The 21,766-nt window shown below is 51.2% G+C and overlaps 1 protein-coding gene and 1 pseudogene across 17 annotated transcripts in view, besides 5 other annotated features; one reads left to right on the top strand and one right to left on the bottom strand.

Moving 5' to 3' along the window:
• Window positions 1,162–1,371: a silencer, noted in NCBI's record as "silent region_5130". NCBI's record gives its function as "represses an Ori minimal core promoter by ATAC-STARR-seq in GM12878 lymphoblastoid cells {active_cell/tissue: GM12878}" and the evidence as "EXISTENCE:reporter gene assay evidence [ECO:0000049][PMID:35858748]".
• Window positions 1,452–1,591: an enhancer, noted in NCBI's record as "active region_7392". NCBI's record gives its function as "activates an Ori minimal core promoter by ATAC-STARR-seq in GM12878 lymphoblastoid cells {active_cell/tissue: GM12878}" and the evidence as "EXISTENCE:reporter gene assay evidence [ECO:0000049][PMID:35858748]".
• The window catches only part of GOLGA3 (golgin A3), a 60,168-nt gene continuing 39,868 nt past the window's right edge, over window positions 1,467–21,766 (top strand). For 2 of the 17 annotated variants that reach the window (NM_001389683.1, NM_001172557.2), the window contains exons 1-4: window positions 1,679–1,745; window positions 8,237–8,552; window positions 13,736–14,008; window positions 17,129–17,241. In NM_001389683.1, the coding sequence (NP_001376612.1) occupies window positions 8,420–8,552; window positions 13,736–14,008; window positions 17,129–17,241 (519 nt within the window). In that variant the 5' untranslated portion in view covers window positions 1,679–1,745; window positions 8,237–8,419. Of the gene's footprint in view, window positions 1,530–1,678; window positions 1,746–2,158; window positions 2,533–2,645; window positions 2,741–2,834; window positions 2,942–5,441; window positions 5,630–8,236; window positions 8,553–13,735; window positions 14,009–17,128; window positions 17,242–18,665; window positions 18,762–21,766 lie in introns of those variants that run through there. The other 15 variants (NM_001389687.1, NM_001389685.1, NM_001389688.1 and 12 more) reach the window with 15 other exon arrangements.
• Window positions 1,742–1,801: a silencer, noted in NCBI's record as "silent region_5129". NCBI's record gives its function as "represses an Ori minimal core promoter by ATAC-STARR-seq in GM12878 lymphoblastoid cells {active_cell/tissue: GM12878}" and the evidence as "EXISTENCE:reporter gene assay evidence [ECO:0000049][PMID:35858748]".
• Window positions 2,302–2,401: a silencer, noted in NCBI's record as "silent region_5128". NCBI's record gives its function as "represses an Ori minimal core promoter by ATAC-STARR-seq in GM12878 lymphoblastoid cells {active_cell/tissue: GM12878}" and the evidence as "EXISTENCE:reporter gene assay evidence [ECO:0000049][PMID:35858748]".
• RPS11P5 (ribosomal protein S11 pseudogene 5) lies at window positions 4,311–4,867 on the bottom strand (annotated as a pseudogene).
• Window positions 10,035–10,084: an enhancer, noted in NCBI's record as "active region_7391". NCBI's record gives its function as "activates an Ori minimal core promoter by ATAC-STARR-seq in GM12878 lymphoblastoid cells {active_cell/tissue: GM12878}" and the evidence as "EXISTENCE:reporter gene assay evidence [ECO:0000049][PMID:35858748]".

Raw genomic sequence — 21,766 nt, 5'->3', positions numbered from 1 at the left:
AGGTTCAAGTGATCCCCCTGCCTCAGCCTCCCGAGTAGTTGGGACTACAGGCACACACCACCACGCCCAGCTAATTTTTTTGTATTTTTCATAGAGACAGGGTTCACCATGTTGGCCAGGATAGTCTTGATCTCTTGACCTTGTGATCCACCTGCCTCGGCCTCTCAAGGTGCTGGAATTACAGGCGTGAGACACTGTGCCCGGCTTTTTTTTTTTTTTTTGAGACGGAGTCTTGCTCTGTTGCCCAGGCTGGTGGCACGATCTCCGCTCACTGCAACCTCTCCGCCTCCTGGATTCAAGCGATTCTCCTCCAGCCTCCTGAGTAGCTGGGATTACAGGCACATGCCACCATGCCCGGCTAATTATTATATTTTTAGTAGAGATGGGTTTCACCATTTGGCCTGGCTGGTCTCAAACTCCTGACCTCAGGTAATCCGCCCACCTTGGCCTCCCAAAGTGTTGGGATTACAGGCGTGAGCCACCGCATCCGGTGAAAAGTTTCTAATTTTTTCATGAAGTTTACTCTATCAACTTCTTTTGTGAATTGTGTTTTTTTGGTCAGATCTAAGAACTCTTCCCCAAGCTCTAGATGTGAGAAATTCTGTTTTCTTCTAAAAGTTGTATATTTTACGCCTCAGTCTGATCATTTTGTGTTAGAATTTGCATTTGCAGATAACATGATGGCCCATGTAAAAAATACAAGGATTTTACAACAACAACCGCAAAACACCAAATGAACCCTCAAACTAATGAGTTCAGCGAGGTCTCAGGATAAGAAAATCAACATAGAATTCATCACATTTGTGTAGACCAACAGTGAACACGTGGAAAACGTCAAAAACGCAGTGTTACAGTTGTTTGATGTGAAATACTATAAACTTAAAAGGTGCAGAATCTGTATGCTGAAATTACAAAATGCTGGTGGAAGAAATCAAAAGACCGAAATAAATGGAGGGGCCACCAGGGACGCAGATGAAGGACCGAGTCAGCGATGCCCGTGCTCCCCAAACGATCTGCAGCAGTTCCCATCAAAATCCCAGAAAACTTCGTAGACTGAAGCGTATTCCAAAATCCGCAGAGATGAGCGCAACATCACAGAGGACCCCGAGGCGCCCTCCAGGCCATTTCCTTCCTGACAGCTGGAAGAGCGGCCTGGCGGATGAGGGAAGGTGGAAAGCCGTTCCCCAGCGGCCAGCGGCCCGCGCCGTCCAGCTTTGCCCTTTTTAAAGGGGAAGCAAATAGGGTCCAAAGCAGCGTCGCCTTTGATCTGGCACCTGAAGCGCGAAGGGCGCCGGCCGGGTGGAGGTGCGGGGTTGGGGCGGGGACCCGACTAGGGCGGGCGGGGAAGTCACGCCCACACCGAGCTCGGCCGCGCCCATGCCGAGCCCCGGCCACGCCACTTCCGCCGGAAGCTCGGTTCAGCTTCCTGAAAGAGTTGGTCCTGCAGTTCCGGAAGTTGCGTTTCTACTAGGGAAAGGTCCGCAAACTCTTAAGGTCACTTTCTGAAGGCGGCCTCATCACAGTCGGAGGTGAGCTCGATCCGGACCCTGTGGGCAGAGGGTCCCCGGCCCTAGGGTGGCCACTTGAAGAAGAGGAGGACGTTCTCTGTTCCGGAACGAAAGTAGCGCGTGCAGGCTGTTTCCGGGGACCCGAGGCCGATGCACCGCTCGCCCCGCCCCTCTCACGGCCACGTCTCCGCCGGAGCATCCGGGCCGGGCGGCCTCCGGGGCTGCCAGAGCAGCAGGGTGAGGGGCTCGGAGGCCGCGGCGCCTCGGGGCTCGGGCTCCCGCTCCCGCTCCCGCTCCCGCAGTGCATGGGCGGGGGAGGCTCGAGGGGCGGCGGCGGGGCCTGGGCGCGTCCCTGCAGCGTGGCGGGACGGCCCCGTTCCAGTCACCCCCGCCTCGCTGCGGTGGCCTCGGGCCTGGGCGCCCGCCTTCAGCTGCGGCGGAGCTGGCTCTGTAAATGCCGGTGCCCGCGAGCCCTCCTGAATGCTTGTCTGCGCCCGACGAGCGCGGCCTGTCCCGAAGCTGTCCACTGCCACCACTCGGGCAGTGCTTGCTTTAGCCTGGCCCTTTGCAGCTGAAAGGCGTGACATGGTGTCGGGTGGTTCGTGGGAAGTCGGGGTTTCAGGAGTCCGTGTACTTCCTTGTTTGTCTTTGTCGCTGGCCGACTTGTCTTCATTCCAGGTGGCCAGAGCGAGTGGGGCCGGGCGTTGTCACGGGTATGAACCCGACGAATGTCAGTCGTGTGGCGGGTCCTGGGTATTGTGGGTCTGGGTCACTGCCCCCGCGGAGCCCACCTAGGACAGGGACACCCAGGGTCGCCAGCGAGAGGGTACCGGGCGGTGGTTGGGTGGGGTCCGCTACTCTAAGTGGGAGCCTGGGGGGCGGGCGACTTCCGTGCTAAGGCCTCTATGACGAGAAGCAAGCCAGGCAAAATTGTGAGAAAAGCGCGCCTCAGGCAGAAAGTTTGAAGACCCTGAGGGCGGAGGATGTGGCCACAGTGTAATGGCAAAGGGGGAAAGCGATGGCGGTAAGGATGTTGGTGTAGGCAGGTGCTGGATTCTTAAGAGGTTGGAGTTTATTGTCACTGGGCCAGTGTAAGCCATTTACAGATGACTCATGGATTTTTTTTTTTTTTTTAAGAGACTGGGTGTGTTGCTGTATTGCCCAGGCTGGTGTGGAACTCCTGGCCTCAAGCGATCCTCCCACCCCAGCCTCCCAAAGTGCTGGTGTTACAGGTGTGAGCAGCCACACCCGTCGTCGTGGATTATTTTGAACTGTCTTTTAAACGACATCAACATAGCGCTTTATAACCCTTTAATATCTTTTCAGGCAGTATACCTTAAATGGCAAGAAGGAAATAAATCATCTGACATCACTCAGATTGAAGAGGAGCTTTTTTTCCCCCGATTGCCTTAAGAAGTAGCATACTTTCCCAAGTGAGAATGCCTTCAGTTGGCTTTTAGCGATTTTGACAAGCAACAACTAAAGGGAAAATCGTGATAATTACTGTCATTTTATTGAGGACACGGGACAGACTCTGTGCCTTGTTATATTTAATCCTGGCAAAATTTTGCGTTCATTTTCTCATTGTTTTACTGGTGAGGAAACAGGCTAAATGTGATTAAGAAATCTTTAGCCCAGGCTCTCACAGGTAAGTGGTGGAGGGTCGGGAGCTGAGGCCGGAGTCCTGACTTCCAAGCCTGCCCTTCACGTCTCTGCAGTGACATGAGGCTTGCTTGCTTTTGGTTTTCACTTTGTGTATAGATCTGTGTTTACTTTTGGATACTAGTGTGGCCTCCACCAGGTACTCTTTTCCTGAGGAAATCGTGTTTGGTTTTTGGCTGTGCTCTGTTGTTTCTAATACCCGATAGGAACAGGTGAAACGAGGTGGTGTAGATGGAGCCGTGAATGTTTGTATACAGAATTCAGGTGTGGGGGAAGCAGAAAGTCCTGTAGGTGCCTGAGGTGGTGGTTTCTCAGTATGAAGTCCCTTGATGTTACCCAGCTGTGAACCTAGGGTTGTGTGTACCTTTCGCAGTTCTAAGTGACAGCTTTGTCCTGTCTCTTCTCTCTAGAGACGCAGGAGTGCGAGTGATCATAAGTGAGACTGATTAGACTGGCCTCTTTATTTAAAATAGAGCCATGTTTGTAGTACCAGCTTTCTGTGATGCACTGGCAGTTGCTCCTCCTCCTCGCTGCCCGGAGATCGCTTTTTGTCAGTAGTCTGAGGTAATGAGGCCCTGACGACTGAGTCATTCCAAATTTTAACTAAAAATCAAGCAAGACTGGGAATCGACCGAGACTGCCAGCTTATTGCCCTACAGGGAGAAGTATCACTGTCACCAAACTCCAGGCAGTTAGTGAATTCTCTCTCTGGTCCGGCTTCAGGAGGAGCTGCCTGTAAAGAGGGGCCGTCTTTGTGACTTACAGTCACCGTCATGGGGTCTCTGTTCTGGAGAGGTGGGCTGCTTGGACACCAGCAGGGGAATTAAGTGAGCAGAATCTGTGATTGCACTGGACTCAGCTCGGTGCGGTTGGCTGTCACCATGTTGGCGTGCCCTCTCGGTGGAACCTGAGCGTCTTTGGCTGTGTTCCTTCTTGGTCAGTGTAAGGCCCAGGCGTCGTCACTGTGGGCCTCTGCAGCAGTTCTCCTCTGCAGCAGTTCTCCTCTGCATGTTCCACCTGTAATGGCTGAGTCCAGTCCTGCTGGTCATCCCATCCTTCCTTCTGTTCAGGTGGTGGTGCCTGTCTGGGCCGTGGCCGTGATGCTGCTCTTCCAGTTTCTTTTTTTTTTTTTTTTTTGGAGAATGAGAAAATAACTTTATTTCATTGTGGGGAGCGGGCTGATGTCCAGCCTCAGAACTTCTGGAACTGCTTCTTGGTGCTGGCAGCCTTGGTGACCTGGAGCACGTTGAGGTGCACTGTCTTGCTCAGAGGCCGGCAAGGCCGGCACTCGCCCACTGTGACGATGTCACCGATCTGGACGTCCCTGAAGCAGGGGAACAGGTGTACAGACATGTTCTTGTGGTGCTTCTCGAAGTGGTTGTACTTGCGGATGTAGTGCAGGTAGTCTCGGCGGATGACAGTGGTCCTCTGCGTCTTCATCTTGGTCACCACGCCAGAGAGGATCCGCCCTCGAATGGAGACATCACCAGTGAAGGGGCATTTCTTGTCAATGTAGGTGCCCTCAGTAGCCTCTTTGGGTGTCTTGAAGCCCAGACCAATGTTCTTGTAGTACCGCAGGAGCTTCTCCTTGCCAGTTTCTCCCAGCAGGACCCTCTTCTTGTTTTGAAAGATGGTCGGCTGCTTTTGGTAGGCACGCTCAGTCTGAATGTCCGCCATCTTCCCGGCCACTGAAAAAAGGTGCTCTTCCAGTTTCTAACTCCCTGGACTCCCTCATTGGAACTGAAGCTCACAGATGTTTCAGCTGGACTAGTTTAGACTTTGCTGTATTTTAAAAGGCAGTGTTGATGCTCCAGGATTCAAATACTTAATCATTTTGTTTTGGAACCATTAGCTTTGTAGCAGAGGAATGTACTCAGCAGAATCAGCAGAACTGAAGATTTAATTCGGCAAATTAAACCTGTGTTGGCACTTTAGGAGTTGGGAGTGTTCAAGGTGGTGGGAGGCAGACGGGGAATGAGTCTCTGTCTTCAAGGATCTCGCCATGTAATGGGCACACACGCAATGGCAGACATGACGTGCTGTGGTGGAGGCCACGTGAGGTACAGTGATGGCAGAGGGGGTAGACGAGACACTTTACCTGCGGGGCCAGGAGGGTCTGCACGCGCAGGCACACACCGTCGGTTCCTTTACCTGAGGGGCCAGGAGGGTCTGCACGCGTAGGCACACACGGTCGGTTCCATATAATCACCCCACCCCCGCAAGGCAGAAGCAAAGACATCACAAAGCAAAACGCAAGTTTTCTTTTGCTAGGAAATTTTCAAGAGGACCAGATGTACAGGGTACCAGTATTCAGTGGCGCAGTCGAGTCCACATTCCACCGCGTGTAGTCCTCCGTGCCAGTTTGTAATTCATCTGTCAAAGGGGCAAGCCTGTGATAAGCAGCCATCATTTTGCTGATGCTCCTCCCCTTGTTTTGTGGGTGTCTTCTCCATTCCCAGGTGGGCGTGGCCGGCTGACCCCCAGTTCTCTTGGAGTGTGTCTGGGATTGTAGCTGAGGGGCAGGCTTGGTGGAGATCGCAGTGTTTTTCCTGGAAAGTGATTTTCAGAGGGTTCTGTGCTGTGTGTAAGGACAGGTGTGTAGTTCAGATCCCTGCCTAGGCTCTAAGGCCCATTTATCACCCACCCACCCGGAAAATCCAGGGATGAGAGATGTTACTAGATGATCATAGACGCAAACATGAGATTGAGAATTCGTTGCACACAGGATTAGCTTTTGACCAGCCTTGGTAACTTCCTTCACTTCTGTGCTTCAGACATTGCTTTAATCTTTAAATATTTTTATGTGCCAGGCACCCTGAGTCAAGACATCTAGGATCCTTTGTTTACAGTAGTTTCTTGATTAGCTATGCGAGATTTATAGTTACTAATGTTAGGACACATTTCTATTCACAGTGCTTTCTGGTTACAAACCCTTAATGCTAGTTTTACACTAATAGCATACGTAACCTTTTAATATTCTGAACAACACTGTTATGAACTCATAACTGTCTCTGGCCTGTAGGATGCAAGGTGGCAGAGAGGAATGGTGGATTATTATAGTTATGAGCAGATACTCACAGGTCTGCACGCCCTTCAGTGAGTCATTGACTGTGTCAGTGGACTGGGTTACACCCACCACCCATAGGTTTCCTCTTTTACGGGTGACCAGTCTAGATGGCAGGTAGAGTAAAAACCCCTAGAAAGACAGGCACGTCCTGCTGCGGGGTCAGTGACACACATGCTCTCGAGGACCAGCCACGTGGGCTTCTCTTTTTTTTGTTGTTTTTTGTTTTTTGAGATGGAGTTTTGTGCTTGTCTCCCAGGCTGGAGTGCAGTGGCACAATTTTGGCTCACGCAACCTCTGTCTCCCAGGTTCAAGCGATGTTCCTGCCTTAGCCTCCTGAGTAGCTGGGATTACAGGCACGCGCTGCCATGCCTGGCTAATTTTTGTATTTTTAGTAGAGACGAGGTTTCACCTTGTTGGCCAGGCTGGTCTTGAAATTCTGACCTCAAGTGATCCACCCACCTTGACCCCCCAAAGTTATGGGATTACAGGCATGAGCCATCACACGCAGCCCTTTTTTTTTTTTAGACGGAGTTTCCACTCTTGTTGCCCAGGCTGGAGTGCAATGGCGTGGTCTTGGTTCAGTGCAACCTCCGCCTCCCAGGTTCAAGTGATTCTCCTGCCTCAGGCTCCCAAGTAGCTGGGATTACAGGCGCCTGCCACCACGCCTGGCTAGTTTTTTGTATTTTTAGTAGAGATGGGGTTTCACCATGTTGGCCAGGCTGGTCTCAAACTCCTGACCGCAGGTGATCCGCCCGCCTTGGCCTCCCAAAGTGCTGGGATTACAAGCATGAGCCACCGCACCCGGCCCCATGTGGGCTTCTTGTCTATACCTTCTGTGTGGGATTTGTAAGCTAGAGGCGAAGGTTGTGTAATGTTTCTCATGAAAAATGTTAAACACAGAACATAATGTAGGTTAATATGAAACTGATTTTAAAGGAATAAATGCCAACATTTCTGCAGAATGAATGGAAGCTCATGCTAGTGTCTTACCTGTTGATAAGGAAATGAGTTAATAATATCACCAGCACATTTCAGGGTGGATAATCACTTGCCAAATGTTGGGCAAAGTTTTGCTCCCCTGAATGTAGCCCGGCAGGGCAGGCTGAGAGAGCTAACCCAGCTAGAGGTAAAGACGGGAACGGGCCCTGCCGTGAGATGCCCTTTCTGTGCCCCCACTCCAAGGCAGCTGCCTTTCTGGTGTCCTTGTACACCCTGTATAGAGTTACCACATCCCATGGCACCTGCTTTTTAAAGTTTTGTTTCTCTGGATCTGAGTTGTCCAACCTGAAGGGGTGGGGCTGCCGGCAGGAGCCGTGGCCTTGGGCAGAGTCACTCACTAGCTGAGAGGGGGGCCTGTGAGTCTGGTATTGTAATTTTTAAATTGTTTTTGAGATGGGGTCTCCCTCTGTCACCCAGGCTGCAGTGCAGTGGTGCGATCTCAGCTCACTGCAACCTCCGCCTCCCGGTTTCAAGTGACTCTCCTGCCTCAGCCTCCCGAGTAGCTGGGATTACAGGTGTTCACCACCACACCCGGCTATTTTTTGTATTTTTAGTAGAGGTGGGGGTTTCACCATGTTGGCCAGGCTGGTCTTGAACTCCTGACCTCAGGTGATCTGCCTGCCTCGGCCTCCCAAAGTGCTGGGATTACAGGGGTGAGCCACCGCGCCTGGCCCAAATTAATTTTAAATAAAATTTAAAGCTCAGTTGCCCTGTGTGACACCTACTCCACAGATTCAGAGCTGCGCTGTCCCAGCAGAATGTTCTTTAGTTGGCACCGATACAGACATTAAGCTCCTTCAGGAAAGGGCCCAGTGTGGCTGGGTCAGCATCTTAGCCTCAAAACCTAGGATGTTGTGGGTGCTCCAGGATTATTTGCTGAATGAAAAAGTTTGTATTTGTTTCTTGTACGTATGCAAATTGGGAACCAAATGCTAATTTTGTAATTGATACTTGAAATCTGACAAGTTTCATAATACATTTTGTCTCTCTCTCCTGTCAGGTATCATGATATTAGCTGGTTTGACATCAAGTCATTTGTGAGTCATCAGATCTTCTCCTGAAAATGGGAGACACAGTAGGGCCCCTCCCAGGAGCTCTTGGCTGTTGCTGATGGCAGAAGCCAAGCTTGTCCAAGGTTCACTTGTAGCCCCTCAGCGTCAGCTCAGCTGGTGTCGTCCTGACCATGGACGGCGCGTCGGCCGAGCAAGATGGCCTCCAGGAGGACAGATCCCACAGTGGCCCCTCGTCTCTCCCCGAGGCCCCACTGAAGCCCCCGGGCCCACTGGTGCCACCTGACCAGCAGGACAAAGTCCAGTGTAAGTCGTGAGGTTCCTCTGTGTGCTGGTCACAGGAGGACCTGGTGTTGAGGGAGGACGTGGTGTTGAGGGAGGATGTGGCGTTGAGACCACTGTGAGCTTTTCACTTAATTCAAAGTTGTTTTTTTTTTTTTTTTTTTTTGAGACGGAGTCTCGCTCTTTCGCCCAGGCTGGACTGCAGTGGCGTGATCTCGGCTCGCTGCAAGCTCCGCCTCCCGGGTTCATGCCATTCTCTTGCCCCAGCCTCCTGAGTAGCTGGGATTACAGGCGCCCGCCACCGCGCCCGGCTAATTTTTTGTATTTTTAGTAGAGACGGGGTTTCACCGTGTTAGCCAAGATGGTCTCGATCTCCTGACTTCGTGATCCGCCCGCCTCAGCCTCAGCCTCAAAGTGCTGGGATTACAGGTGTGAGCCACTGTGCCCGGCCCAAAGTATGTTTTAGTAACTGAATGATGCCACCTTTAGATCAGGCACATTCCTGCTAAACAGAACTCCATTAAACGTGTGGGGCAGCAGCAGTGTTTCCCTGAAGGGATCTATGGGTCTTTATCATGTTCCCTGCCTAAAATTCTACCTTTTTTTTTTTTCGACGTGGAGTTTTGCTCTGGGTGCCCGGGCTGGAGTGCAATGGCGAGATCTCGTTTCACTGCAACCTCCACTTCCCGGGTTCAAGCAATTCTTCTGCCTCAGCCTCCCGAGTAGCTGGGATTACAGGCATGCGCTACCACGCCCAGCTATTTTTTGTATTTTTAGTAGAGATGAGGTTTCTCCATGTTGGTCAGGCTGGCCACGAACTCCCAACCTCAGGTGATCCGCCCACCTTGGCATCCCAAAGTGCTGAGATTACAGGCGTGAGCCACTGCGCCCAGCCATTTTTTTTTTTTTTTTTTTTTTTTGAGACGGTGTCCTGTTCTGTCGCCCAGGCTGGAGTGCAGTGGCACCATCTCAGCTCACTGCAACCTCTGCCTCCTGGGTTCAAGCGATTCTCCTGCTTCAGCCTCCCGAGTAGCTGGGACTACAGGCACCTGCCACCACACCCAGCTATTTTTTGTATTTTTAGTAGAGACGGGGTTTCACCATGTTGGCCAGGCTGGTCTCGAACTCCTGATCTCAAATGATCCACCCACCTCAGCCCCAAAAAGTGCTGGGATTACAGGAGTGAGCCACTGTGCCTGGCCGAATTCTGCCTTTTTGATTGGTCAGTTGCTGAATTTGTAATAGCTAGAATTCAGAAGTCGTCCCGTAGAGATCTAAGGATTACGGAGCACAGTGTTATGTTAGCCCCCTGGGTTATTCACGTGTCAGAGGGAAAGGGTGACTTAGTTATTCACTCAGTTCTCATGCCTCTTCCTGGCCAGGAGGTTCAGTGCTTTAAAACTGTAGACTACAGATGTGCTAATTTACTAGCAGAAGTCACAGTCTAATTCCTGTAAAATGATACTCAGGCGCTTAGGATGGCTTTGCTGGTCCTTGCTACATAAGCATCAGGTGAGGCAGATAACAACTTAGAGGCCCAAGATCAAGAGTTCTGAGACCCGCGGCCGTGGAACCTGCTCTTAGATCTGCTGCTCAGGAGCAATGTGCCCTCGAGCAAGACGCTGGGTTAATCTCAGCCTCCGCCCCTTTTTCTATTTTAAACATTTTATTACTGTTTTTAGAGTCAGGGTGTTGCTCCATTGAGCAGGCTGAAGTGCAGTGGTGTAATCATAGCTCACGGCAGCCATGAACTCCTGGGCTTAAGTGATCCTCCTGCCTTGGTCTCTGGGGTAGCGGTGACTATCGATGCGTGTCAGCACGCCTAGCTGATTTTTTTTTTTTTGAGACGGAGTTTTGCTGTTGTTGTCCAGGCTGTAGTGCAATGGTGCGATCTCGGCTCATGGCAACCTCCGCCTCCCGGGTTCAAGCGATCTTCTGCCTCAGCCTCCTGAGTAGCTGGGATTACAGGCATGTGCCACCACGCCCAGCTAATTTTGTATTTTTAGTAGAGATGGAGTTTCCATGTTGATCAGGCTGGTTTTGAACTCCCAATCTCTGGTGATCCCCCCACCTTGGCCTCCCAAAGTGCTGGGATTGCAGGCGTGAGCCACCGCGCCCTGTTGCCTGGCTCATTTTAAAAACTTTTTGTATAAACAGTCTTGCTGTTGCCCGGGCTGGTCTTGAATTCCTGGCCTTGAGTTATCCTTCCACCTCGGCCTCCCAAAGTGCTGGGATTACAGGTGTGAGCCACTGCGCCCGGCCTAACCCAGTAACTTTTATCTGAAATGCAAGGTTCCCCCTCTCCCAGCAGTGGAGCTCACGGGTCCTTTGCATGAAAGGCGTCTCAGTGCGTTGGTCGGGTGCCCGTGGTCTGGCTTCCTGTCTGGCACCCCTGCTTTTATTCTGGTTTTTCTTTCGGGAGGCATGACAGTAAGTATCTGCTGTTAGTTTGAACTCACATTTGCAAGTGAAAGAAACCTTTTCTTTTTTTGAGACGGAGTCTCGCTCTGTTGCCCAGACTGGAGTGCAGTGGCACGACCTCAGCTTACTGCAAGCTCCACTTCGAGGGTTCACGCCATTCTTCTGCCTCAGCCTCCCAAGTAGCTGGGACTATAGGCGCCCGCCACCACGCCCAGCTAAGTCTTTGTATTTTTAGTAGAGACGGGGTTTCGCCGTGTTAGCCAGGATAGTCTCGATCTCCTGACCTCGTGATCCACCTGCCTCAGCTTCCCAAAGTGCTGGGATTACAGGCGTGAGCCACCGCGCCCGGCTAAGAAACTCATTTTTAATTTGCTTGAGCAAAAAGCAAATTTGCTGTCCTGCATGCACGTGGGATCCGAGGAATGCTGACCCCTGTGAGACACGGAGGTGTTGCCGGGCCTCCAGAGCCACCGGAACCAGGACCAGAACCCCCTGAGGACCCTCCCTCCCCCCTCACATGTCTTGGTTCTTTGACTGTGAACTGGCCCACCCACCAGTCAGCAGTTAGGGGGCAGGGAAAAGACTGAAAATCACTTCATTGAAAGAAATCTTTCTTTGTTCCATTTGATGAGGAAATATGTTTTAGTTTGTGTTGTGGGTAATTTGTATATAATCATTTTAGTGGGTGAACTGAGGTAACACGTGGGTATAGAATTGTCACTGGTCCAACCCAGGCCTTTACCCAGCAGGCTGTCATCAAGCAGAAGCGCGGTTCTGGGCTGTCTCTGCTTCACGGGTGGTGTGATGACATCATCCACCTCTTCGCCTTAGGGTCCTCGCCTTGGAGGATAAGCTGAGGCTTTGAAATGACTCCAAAATCAGCCTTTGTAAATGTGAGGCTGTGACTCTGATTAACACTGCTGTTACCAGTGCCTGCTAGAAAGATTGTCAGCTGTGTTTTAAGTGTTTGTGGTTTTCGCTTGTTTTAAACTGGCGACTTTCATAAGATTTCTTATTGGTTTTACTTAAATGGAAAGGAAACATTGGCTGGGTGCGGTGGCTCACGCCTGTAATCCCAGCACTGTGGGAGGCCGAGGCTGGTGAATGGGGAGGAGTTTGAGACCAGACTGGCCAACATGGTGAAACCCCATCTCTACTAAAAAGACCAAAAATTAGCCAGGTGTGGTGGTGGGCACCTGTAATCCCAGCTACTGGGGAGGCTGAAGCAGGAGAATCGCTTGAATCTGGTGAGTGGAGCTTGCAGTGAGCTGAGCTTGTGTGACTGAACTCCAGCCTGGGCAGCAGAATGAGACTCCGTCTCAAAAAAGAGAAGAGGAAATGTTACTGTCGTTACTACATAAATTCTACAGCCAAGAGTGTGGAGGTGTGGAGGGTGAGTTCACCTTATAGTGTAGAGGTGTGGAGGGCGAGTTCACCTTAGAGCATGGAGGAGTGGAGGGTGGGTTCACCTTAGAGCATGGAGGAGTGGAGGGGGGGTTCACCTTAGAGCGTGGAGGTGTGGAGGGCGGGTTCACGTTAGAGCGTACAGGTGTGGAGGGTGGGTTCACCTTAGAGCGTGGAGGAGTGGAGGGTGAGTTCACCTTAGAGTGTGGAGGTGTGGGGGGGGGTTCACCTTAGAGCGTGGAGGAGTGGAGGGTGAGTTCACCTTAGAGTGTGGAGGTGTGGGGGGGGGGTTCACCTTAGAGCGTGGAGGTGTGGAGGGTGAGTTCACCTTAGAGCGTGGAGGAGTGGAGGGCGGGTTCACGTTAGAGTGTGGAGGTGTGGAGTGCGGGTTCACCTTAGAGCGTGGAGGAGTGGAGGGCGGGTTCACCTTAGAGCGTGGAGGTGTGGAGGGTGGGTTCACCTTAGAGCGTGGAGGTGTGGAGGGCGGGTTCACCTTAGAGCGTGGAGGAGTGGAGGGTGAGTTCACCTTAGAGTGTGGAGGTGTGGGGGGGGGGTTCACCTTAGAGCGTGGAGGTGTGGAGGGTGAGTTCACCTTAGAGCGTGGAGGAGTGGAGGGCGGGTTCACGTTAGAGTGTGGAGGTGTGGAGGGTGGGTTCACCTTAGAGCGTGGAGGTGTGGAGTGCGGGTTCACCTTAGAGCGTGGAGGAGTGGAGGGCGGGTTCACCTTAGAGCGTGGAGGTGTGGAGGGCGGGTTCACCTTAGAGCGTGGAGGAGTGGAGGGCGGGTTCACGTTAGAGTGTGGAGGTGTGGAGGGCGGGTTCACCTTAGAGTGTGGAGGTGTGGAGGGCGGGTTCACCTTAGAGCGTGGAGGTGTGGAGGGCGGGTTCACCTTAGAGCGTGGAGGAGTGGAGGGCGGGTTCACGTTAGAGTGTGGAGGTGTGGAGGGGGGGTTCACCTTAGAGCGTGGAGGTGTGGAGGGCGGGTTCACCTTAGAGCGTGGAGGTGTGGAGGGCGGGTTCACCTTAGAGCGTGGAGGAGTGGAGGGCGGGTTCACATTAGAGTGTGGAGGTGTGGAGGGTGAGTTCACGTTAGAGCGTAGAGGTGTGGAGGGCGGGTTCACGTTAGAGTGTGGAGGTGTGGAGGGCAGGTTCACCTTACAGGAAGGACGTGGACACCAGAGGGGCTGTGGGCCTTATCCTGGCCACCCCGCCTGTGGGACGGGGCCCATGGGCTGCTCCTCTCAGAGTGAAGCCTTTGTGGGATGAGAAAGTGCCGTGCTCATGAGTCTGGATCCTCTTCTCTCCTACTCCAGCTGCATGTCTGAAAAGCGACGTCACCTTGTTGTTAAAGCCATGGTGGTCCAGCGTGCTCTGTCTTTCCAGGTGCCGAGGTAAACAGAGCATCCACGGAAGGGGAAAGCCCGGATGGACCTGGCCAGGGAGGCCTCTGTCAGAACGGGCCAACGCCACCCTTCCCAGACCCTCCGTCGTCTCTCGATCCCACCACAAGCCCAGTGGGCCCTGATGCCTCTCCAGGTGTGGCTGGTTTCCATGACAACCTAAGGAAGTCTCAGGGAACTAGTGCTGAGGGCAGTGTTAGAAAAGAAGCTTTGCAGTCTCTCAGACTCAGTCTTCCTATGCAAGAAACGCAACTGTGTAAGCATCCGTTACCCCGCTTTTCCCACCCTCCACGTCCGCGTCGCTCAGCCCCTTGGGAGCAGGTGCCCTGCGCACTCACTGTCTGAGCTGTTGTGTGCCTGTGCCTGCCGTGTGCCATCTGAGTCCCACGTGGGGCTGTGAGTTTAGCAAGGAGAGCTTCAAGTTAGAGAGTGAAGATGCAGGTGGAGTCAAGGTTCTGCTGTGGTCTGACTGGCAGCAGTGCTGACGCTTTTGCGTTAAAGGCCAGCCTGCATGTCCTGTGTCACCCAGGTGCTTGGTAAGCAGACGGTGGGCATCCAGTCTGTTGTTTTGGTTTTTTTTGGTTTGCTTTTTTTTTCTGAGACAGAGTCTCGCTCTTTCGCCCAGGCCGGACTGCAGTGGCGCTGTCTCGGCTCACTGCAATCTCCGCCTCCTGGGTTCATGCCATTCACCTGCCTCGGCCTCCCGAGTAGCTGGGACTACATGCACCCGCCACCAGGCCCGGCTAATTTTTTGTATTTTTAGCAAAGATGGGGTTTCACCGTGTTAGTCAAGATGGTATTGATCTCCTGACCTCATGGTCTGCCTGCCTTGGCCTCCCAAAGTGTTGGGATTACAGGCGTGAGCCACCAGGCCCAGCCTGTTTTGTTTTTTAATTAGAGTCAGGATCTTGCTCTGTCGCCCAGGCTGGAGGCCAGTGGCAGAGTCAGAGCTCACTGCAGCCTCTGCCTCCCAGGTTCAAGGGATCTTCCTGCCTCTGCTGTCAAGTAGCTTGGACCACAGGTGCGTGTCACCACACCTGGCTAATTTTAATTTTTTGTGTGTGTAGAAACGGGGTCTCACCATGTTTCCCAGGCTGGTCTTGAACTCCTGGGCTCAAGTGATCGTCATACCTTGGCCTCCCAAAATACTGGGATTATAGGCGTGAGCCACTGTACCTGGCCTGCAGTATATTTTTAAAAATTTCTTAAAACTAAATAACAACAACAAAAAACCCTAAATTACTGAAATCAGACTGCATTTCACATGTGTTTATTTGAAACAATTCTGAAAACTCACTGCCAGCATTTAAGTTGAGAAGTAGCATGTAAAAAAGTCTAGATTCCTGATTTTTTTCAACTTAGTTTATTTACTTTGGGGTCCTGAAGTTACAGATGTGTGAGCTCTGGCCCAGGTGTCTGGGGCAGCAGCGCTGGGTCTACGTGCACACCTTTGCGGGATGCCCCTGGTCACCTGTTCCTGCTGGCGCCTGGCCCTGAGCCTATCTCCTGCGTCAGTGTTTGGTTGAAACCCTGCTTATTTTGCCGACTTATATAAATATCTGCCTGGTGGCCATAGGCCTGAATTTGCCACTTACGGTCTAGCCATCTGGACCACTTTGCCATGTGAAAAGGACTAGAGATCTTTTCAGTGATAAAATGTATAAACTAATAATGGTACATTTACAGTGAAATTCTTGGTGACTGCTCAGATGTTAGGGATTATTTAGGACAGTAGCTGCTCATCTCCTCAGCATCTACCTGTAAGGAGGGTGTCATGTGTAAAGCGTTGCTGTGTGATTATGCTTTCCTACTCTGGTCGGCACCCAGGCCGTCGGGCGGTGTCTGCTGATGGCTTAGGAAGGATGAGGCCACACACTCAGTCCTGGGAAGTGGAGCCCTGGGTTTGTAACTATAACACGTTGGCACGTACCATGCAACTCTTTCATCACCTACAATGAAAGGTCTGGGTTTTAGATATTTTAAATTCTGGTTTTGGCTAAAAAGTTGTAAATTTTCCCCTCCTGTCCCGGAGCATGACCTCGGATTGGAGTCTTGTCTGTCTGGAAACTGAGGTAACCCGCCCCCAGCCCTGGAGGGCGGAGCCTGTGCAGCATTTACCCTGCAGTGAGGCCTGGCGCCAGGCTTCAGCCATTTGAGTACCGCCAGAGCCTTATCGTAATGTGACTTGTTACTGCAGGAGCTGAGATGAGCTGTGCGTCAGAGCGGACCCCAAATGTAACTGAGCAAAGAAATGCACTCGGGGTCTCGTGACCCCACGACGGCTGAGCTCCTGTGGCTGGGTACTGCCTGTAACTCCACGGTGCCGGCGTTTCAGGTTCTCCCAGCGGGGTCACGAGAACCTGCTGTGAAGCCAGGGCAAGTTGCAGCGTGGTGAGAGCTGAGCCTGCCTCAGAGTGCTCGGCACGGCTCCAGCTTTGAACCCAGTTCTTTCTGTTGTTAAAAGGCACTTGCTGCCGGGCACGGTGGCTCAGGCCCATAATCTCAGCACTTTGAGAGGCCGAGGTGGGCGGATCACCTCAGGTCGGGAGTTCGAGACCAGCCTGACCAACATGGAGAAACCCTGTCTCTACTAAAAATACCAAAGTCGTCAGGGGTCGTGTTGCATGCCTGTAATCCCACCTACTCAGGAGGCTGTGGCAGGAGAATCGCTTGAACCCAGGAGGCAGAGGTTGTGGTGAGCCGAGATCGCACCATTGCACTCCAGCCTGGGCAACAAGAATGAAACTCCGTCTCAAAAAAAAAAAAAAAAAAGGCCGGGCGCGGTGGCTCACGCCTGTAATCCCAGCACTTTGGGAGGCCGAGGCGGGTGGATCATGAGGTCAGGAGATCGAGACCATCCTGACTAACATGGTGAAACCCCGTCTCTACTAAAAATACAAAAAATTAGCCAGGCGTGGTGGCGGGCGCCTGTATTCCCAGCTACTTGGGAGGCTGAGGCAGGAGAATGGTGTGAACCTGGGAGGCGGAGGTTGCTGTGAGCCGAGATCATGCCACTGCACTCCATTCTGGGCGACAGAGTGAGACTCCATCTCAAAAAAAAAAAAAAAAAAAAAGGCACTTGCTGCCATTTCCTGTTTTACCAGGGGAATGCCCCAGGTGGGGTGTACTCATCATGGGATCACAGACCCAGTGCCTGGCCACTGTGTCTCCTGTGAGGTAGATCCCGCCTGTGGTCCGTGTCCGGGGCTCACAGTTCTCTCTTGATCTAGAAATTGTCCTTCCAAACAAGATGGCTGTGCATTGTTTAGGTGTAAAGTATATGGGTAATTAAGTACAAAATGACCAAGTTCTTGTGCCTGATTGTTCTGCATCCTGGTATTTTATGAGTTTCCAAATTGCCCTTTTCCCACTGCAGGCTCTACAGATTCTCCCCTGCCCCTGGAGAAGGAGGAGCAGGTCCGACTTCAGGCTCGGAAGTGGCTGGAAGAGCAGCTCAAACAGTACAGGGTGAAGCGCCAGCAGGAGAGGGTGAGTCTCCCTCTCCCGAACAAGCTCATGGAAAGCTTCCTGTGCCAGAGACAACTGTTGGTCCCACATAACCCGGGGACCTGCCATTGGCTTCTCTGAGCTGCCATGGGCTCAGGGGCAACAAGCACATTTTATTTCTAAATCTGCCAATTGAAAAGCAAAGAAAGCAAACACGGGTGACCTCAGAGGTACTGTGGGTTCAGTTCTGGACCACCACAAAAATGTAAACATTGCAATAAAGCAAGTCCTACAATGTTTTTGGTTTCCTAGTGCATAAAGAAGTTATGTGTATACGCTACTGTAGTTTACTAAGTGTGCAGTAGCACTGTGTCTAAATAAAACTGATGTACCCACATTAATTTGAAAATGCTTTATTACTAAAAAATGCTAACGATCATCTGAGCCTTCAGCAAGTCGTAATCTCTTTGCTGTTGGAGCATCTTGCCTCAAGTTTGATGGCTGCTGACTCATCAGGGTGGTGGTTGCTGAAGGTTGGGCTGTGGTAATTTCTTAAAACCGCACTAAAGTTTACCATATCTTAGAAAAGATGTCTCTGTAACATGCGGTGCTATTTGATGGCATTTTACCCATTCAGGTTTTATCCTGAGATTGCAGCAATTCAGTCACATCTTCAGGCTCCACTTCTAGTTCTAGTGCCCTTGCTGTTTCCACCACATCTGCAGTCAAGTTCTCCACGGAAGCACTGAATCCCTCAACGCTGTCCGTGAGGGTAGAAATCAGCTTCTTCCACACTCCTGTTAATGTTGATATTTTGACCCCTCCACCCATGAATCATGAATGTTTTTAATGGCATCTAGAATGGTGAATCCTTTCCAGAAGGTTTTCAGTTTACTTTGCCCAGATCCATGAGAGGAATCACTATGACTATGGCAGTTGTACCCTTACAGAAGGTATTTCTTAAGTAATAAGACTTGAAAGTCAAAACTAGTCCTTGATCCATGGGCTGCAGAAGGGATGTTGTGTCTGCAGGCAGGAAAGCGACATTCACCTCCTTGTACATCTCCCATCAGAGCTCTTAGGTGATCTGGCGTATTGTCAATGAGCAGTTAAAAAAAATATATATATATATATATGTGTGTGTGTGTGTGTGTGTATTTTGAGACAGAATCTCGCTTTGTCACCCAAGCAGGTGTGTAGTGGTGCAGTCTTGGCCCACTGCAACCTCCGTCTCCCTAGTTCAAGCAATTCTCCAGCCTCAGCCTCCCGAGTAACTGGGATTAAAAGCACGTGCCACCATGCCCGGCTACTTTTTTTTTTTAATGTTTTTTTTTTTTTTTTTTTTTGAGAGACGGAGTCTCACTCTGTTGCCCAGGCTGGAGCGATCTCGGTTCACTGCAACCTCCACCTCCCAGGTTCCAGTGATTCTCTGCCTCAGCCTCCTGAGTAGCTGGGACTACAGGCACCCACCATCGCGCCCAGCCTATGTCATGTTTCAAAAGGATCTCTTCAGTAGAAGAAGATCAATAAAATGACCAGCGTGTTCTTCTTATACCTTTAAGGTTATGTTTTTAAATACTTTAATCTGGCTGGGTGCAGTGGCTCACACCTATAATCCCAGCACTATGGGAGGGTGGGGCGGGCGGATTGCTTGAGGTCAGGAGTTTGAGACCAGCCTGGCCAACGTGGAGAAACCCCGTCTCTACTAAAAATACAAAAAATTAGCCGGATGTGATGGCACACCCCTGTAATCCTAGCTACTCAGGAGGCTGAGACAGGAGAATCGCTTGAACCCAGGCGGCAGAGGTTGCAGTGAGCCAAGATTGCACCACTGCACTCCAGCCTGGGTCCATCTCAAAAAAAAAATAAAAATGCAAGTATGAAAAATGAAGAGTTATCCTAGCAGTTGTAAGATTAGTGGGAAGTATAACATTTATAACAACAAAAAGGATAAACTGAGAAATAAGTTAGAATGGCCGCAGAGGGCCTGGGTTCTAGATGGGGGTGGGGTAGCTGCTCTGTTGAGGGGCGTGCATGTAGGGTCCAGCCCCACAGGGTCAGTGGGTTTTCTCCCTGTGTGCGGAGACGAGAGAGTGTAGAAATAAAGACACAAGACAAAGAGATAAAAGACAGCTGGGCCGGGGGGACCACTACCACCAAGACGTGGAGACAGGTAGTGGCCCCGAATGTCAGGCTGTGCTGTTATTTATTGGATACAAAGCAAAAGGGGCAGGGTAAAGAGTGTGAGTCATCTCCAATGATAAGTAAGGTCACGTGGGTCACGTGCCCACTGGACAGGGGGCCCTCCCCTGCCTGGCAGCTGAGGTAGAGAGAGAGGGAGAGAGAGAGACAGCTTATGCCGTTATTTCTGCATATCAGAGACTTTTAGTACTTTCACTAATTTTGCTACTGTTATCTAAAAGGCAGAGCCACGTGTACAGGATGGAACATGAAAGCAGACTAGGAGTGTGACCACTGAAGCACAGCATCACAGGTTGATGGTTAGGCCTCCGGATAACTGTGCGCGGGCCTGACTGACGTCAGGCCCTCCACAAGAGGTGGAGGAGTAGAGTCTTCTCTAAACTCTGCTAAGTAGTGGGTGTTTTTCCTTGACACTGATGCTACCGCTAGACCATGGTCTGCTTGGCAATGGGCGTCTTCCCAGATGCTGGCGTTACCGCTAGACCCAGGAGCCCTCTGGTGGCCCTGTCTGGGCATAACAGAAGGCTCGCACTTGTCTTCTGGTCACTTCTCACTGTGTCCCCTCAGCTCCTATCTCTGTATGGCCTGGTTTTTCCTAGGTTATGATTGTAGAGTGAGGATTATTATAATATTGGAATAAAAAGTAATTGCTGCAAACTAATGATTAATGATATTCATATATAATCATATCTAAGATCTATATCTGGTATAACTATTCTTATTTTATATACTTTATTATACTGGAACAGTTCGCGTCCTCAGTCTCTTGCCTCGGCACCTGGGTGGCTTGCCGCCCACACGTGCAAGCAGATGTGGGCAGGCGGAGGAAATTATGGATTTAAGGTGGTTATAGTTCAACAGAATGTTCTTCCTTTTTGAAGAAATTTTTTTTTGTTTTGGAGACAGGGTCTCACTCTGTCACCCAGGCTGGAGTGCAGTGGCATGATCTCGGCTTATTACGACCTCCACCTCCTGGGTTCAAGTGATTCTCCTGCCTCATCCTCCCAAGTAGCTGAGATTACAGGTGTGTGCCACCATGCCTGGCTCATTTTTTTGTATTTTTAGTAGAGACGGGGGTTTCAACATGTTGGCCAGCCTGGTCTTGAACTCCTTACCTCAAATGATCTGCCCGCCTCAGCCTCCCAAAGTGCTGGGATTACAGGTGTGAACCACCACGCCCGGCCTTGAAGAAAATTTCTATGTTTATCCAAAAAAATAAAATAAACTGGAGAGTAGCCAGGAAAGTTCTGTTGAGGAAGTCTGTGGGTGGCAAGCCACTCAGGCACCGAGGCAAGAGACAGAGGACACGGGCTGTTCCAGTATAATAAAATATAAAACAAGAATAGTTACACCAGATATAGATCTTAGATATGATTATATATGAATATCATTAATCATTAGTTTGTAGCAATTACTTTTTATTCCAATATTATGATAATCCTCGCTCTATAATCATAGCCTAGGAAAAACCAGGCCATACAGAGATAGGAGCTGAGGGGACATAGTGAGGTGTGACCAGAAGGCAAGAGTGCAAGCCTTCTGTTATGCCCAGACAGGGCCACCAGAGGGCTCCTTGGTCTAGCGGTGAAGCCAGTGTCTGGGAAGACGGGAAGACGCCCGTTACCAGGCGGATCGTGGTCCAGCGGTAGCAAAAGGTGTCAAGGAACAACACCCACTACTTAGCAGACCGGGAACCGGGGGGCGGGGGGGCGGGGGTGGGGGTTGGTGTCTCCCTTTCCCCGGGGGAGTTTAGAGAAGACTCTGCTCCTCCACCTCTTGTGGAGGGCCTGACTGATGTCAGGCCTGCCCGCAGTTATCCGGAGGCCTAACCATCTCCCTGTGATGCTGTGCTTCAGTGGTCACACTCCTAGTCTGCCTTCATGTTCCATCCTGTATACCTGGCTCTGCCTTCTAGACAGCAGTAGTAAATTAGTGAAAGTACTAATAGTCCCTGATATGCAGAAATAATGGCGTAAGCTGTCTTTGTGTCTCCTCTCCCTCTCTGCCTTGGTTGCCAGGCAGGGAAGGGCCCCCGTCCAGTGGACACGTGACCCACGTGACCTTACCTATCATTGGAGGTGACTCACATTCTTTACCCTGCCCCTTCTGCCTTGTATCCAATAAATAACAGCGCAGCCCGACATTCAGGGCCACTACCGGTCTCCGCGCATTGGTGGTAGTGGTCCCCCAGGCCCAGCTGCCTTTTCTCTTGTCTCTTTGTCTTGTGTCTTTATTTCTACACTCTCGTCGCCGCACACAGGGGGAGACCCACTGACCCTGTGGGGCTGGTCCCTACAGAAGTCTGATGAGGAGGTACTTGCTGGGATGTGTTTTAAACGTGTTGAGGTCACAGTCACTGAAGAGT

The sequence above is a fragment of the Homo sapiens genome, chromosome 12, assembly GCF_000001405.40.
Source record: "Homo sapiens chromosome 12, GRCh38.p14 Primary Assembly".
NCBI lineage: Eukaryota > Metazoa > Chordata > Mammalia > Primates > Hominidae > Homo > Homo sapiens.
This window is presented reverse-complemented; position numbering and strand designations above follow the sequence as displayed.